Consider the following 2,498-nt stretch of genomic DNA (forward strand, 5'->3'; position numbering starts at 1 on the left):
GTGTGTATCTGTGTGTGTCTATGTGTCTGTGAATGTGTCTATGTGTGTCTGTGTGTGTCTCTGAGTGTGTCTGTGTGTATGTGTGTGTGTCTGTGTGTCTCTGAGTGTTTGTGTCTATGTGTGTCTGTGAGTGTGTCTCTTTCCCCTCCCTCTGCCTACCCCTACCCTGCTGGGGGCCCTGGGAGGGGGGGGTCCATCCTGGGGTCTTGCCCTCTCACTGCTGCCTCCAGCTGGGTCTCACTGCTCCTGGAGCTCCATCCTGAGGGATCCCCACATCCCCCATGTTTCCCAGGAGGCCACAGAGCTAAACCCACCCTCTGGTCACACCTGGTCCCTGGTTCCAGAGCTGGAGGTTCCCACCCTCAGCCCACTCGCCCAGGCCAGGGCTGGCCTGCCCCTCCCCCATCCACAAACCATCATGAGGACTCCTGAACTCCCCTCCACACCCCCGACAGCTCTCAATCCCCACCTCCCTCTCTACGGGTACCCCAACTCTCCCTGGAAGGACCCTGCTGGCTTCCTCTGTGGCCTCTGCTTCCGCTCCCATCAGGGTCAGAAACCCAGAGCAGTGCCTGTCCCAAGTCCTCCAGATGCCCACGCCCAGGCCCCGTCTGGCCCCTGCCTTCTCTGTCCTCTGTCCTCTGTCTCTGCCGCTATCTGTCTCCGTGTCTCACACCAGGATATTCTGCTCCTCCAAGCCTTTGTCCTTGTGCTCAGCCTTTGTCCTCTGCCTGGTGACCCGGCCCTCTTTCCCCCATGCCTTCTTCCCCCTCTGGCAAACTCTTCTTCCTTCCCCAGGGCCCCGCTTTGTGCTCCTGGGCTCTGGGACCTTCCTCTGGGAGACCCTTTCCCTGCCCGGCCTCCAGGTCAGCCCAGACTTGCCCCCAGATCGAGGTAGTTTCAAGGGGAACCGGCTGCAGCCCAACCTAACCCTGGAAGCCTGCACACAGCAGCAGGTCGCCCCAAACACACCCCAGTCTCCTTCTCAGTGGGTGCCAGCCTGTTTGGGGTTTGGGGCTCAGTGCCTTGGAGGCCTACCCCACCTTGCCAGCCCCTCCTCGTTCCTTGCCCACAGCCTCCCTGCTCCTCCTTCCCCATGTGCAAACACATGTGTATGTATATGTGTGTATGTATGTGTATGCATGAGTGTGTATGCACGTGTGCGCACACCTGTGTGCGTGTGCATGCGTGTGCATGCACGCATGTGTGTATGTATGTGTATGCGTGAGTGTGTATGCACGTGTGTATGTGTGTGTATGCATGTGTATGCAAGCGTATGTGTGCATGTTGATGTGTGTATATATGTGCGTGTGTGCATGTGTGCATATTGTGTGTGTATGCGTGTGCGTCTGATGGCCTCCCCTCACTGTTCTCTGTAACTTCATCTCCATTCACTCCCTCTGCGACAGTTTTGTTTCTTTATCTTCTTTCTTCTTCCCAGCCATGCGTTTTTTTTCCCGATTGCAAAGGTAATGCTCCATCTTCATGACAGGATGTTTAGAAAATACAGAGAAAACAATCGAAGCCTCTGTGGGTTCCGTTTCCCAAGAAGAGAGGCCTCTGGGTGTAGGTTGGGAAGTGGCCCCCACGTTGGTCTGTAGCCCGGGCCCCCATGCACAGGTGTGCATACCTTGCACACTCTTGTCCGCCCCTTCTTCCCTTGGGCTCTGCCTGGCCCTCTCTCTGTTCCTCTCAGGGACTCTGCCTTTCTCAGTCTGTCACCGTCTCTCTGGTCTGTCTCTGAGCCCCTCTGTCTCTGGGCGCCTTCCTCCGTCTCCGTTCTGCCCTCACCCTGGGGATTCCCACACACATCCACTTTCATTCATTCACAAACCCCACTCTGCAGACGCCGGGCCACACTGTGTGTGTCTGTGGGAGAGCGTGCCTCCTGCTGTCTCTGAAGGTTCCTTGGATTTTGTCCCTACCTGTGGGAGCTCCTGGGGTGCATATGGGGGGCGGGGTATCCACACATCTGGCTCCCTGGACACCTTCTGCCTGTGTGTGCGCTTGTCTTTCTGCCGCCTCCCTTTCTCTGCACCTTCGTGAACTGCCATCTTGCCCTTCACTGCATCCTCTGTGTGTGTGTGTGTGTGTGTGTGCGCGCGCGCGTGTGTGTGTCCCTCCACTCACTTTTGTCTCCCTCGCCTCCTCTCTGTGGTTTCTTCATAGTTCGCTCTCCCTCTATTCCCCCGGGTCACCCCCATTCATCATTTCTTTTGCTCATTCAAAGATGGAGCATCATTTCTTTCTAAATTATCTGCCGTGAGCACAGAGAGCTTTATTACCTTTGTAATAAAAAAAAAACCATGAACATTGCACCCACCACCCACAGGAGTAACAGGGTGCTGGTGCCTATTGCTCGTGTCCCTTTGAGGTGTGCCTGTGCGGGGGTGAGTGAGTGTGTCTGTCTGTCCTTCCACCTCCAGGCTTCCTGGCTGCCTCTCCTTCCTCCTCTTCTCCACCCTTTTTCCTGGAGATTTCTGGAATTTCACTCTCGC

At 56.1% G+C, this 2,498-nt stretch overlaps 1 annotated feature.

Annotated features, from left to right (window-relative positions):
- Nucleotides 1,667-2,280: an enhancer, noted in NCBI's record as "H3K4me1 hESC enhancer chr20:36049663-36050276 (GRCh37/hg19 assembly coordinates)". NCBI's record gives its function as "activates a minimal SCP1, AML or CMV promoter by ChIP-STARR-seq in naive H9 embryonic stem cells {active_cell/tissue: H9 hESC(naive)}" and the evidence as "EXISTENCE:reporter gene assay evidence [ECO:0000049][PMID:30033119]".

Source organism: Homo sapiens, chromosome 20 (genome assembly GCF_000001405.40).
Source record: "Homo sapiens chromosome 20, GRCh38.p14 Primary Assembly".
Classification (NCBI taxonomy): Eukaryota; Metazoa; Chordata; class Mammalia; order Primates; family Hominidae; genus Homo; species Homo sapiens.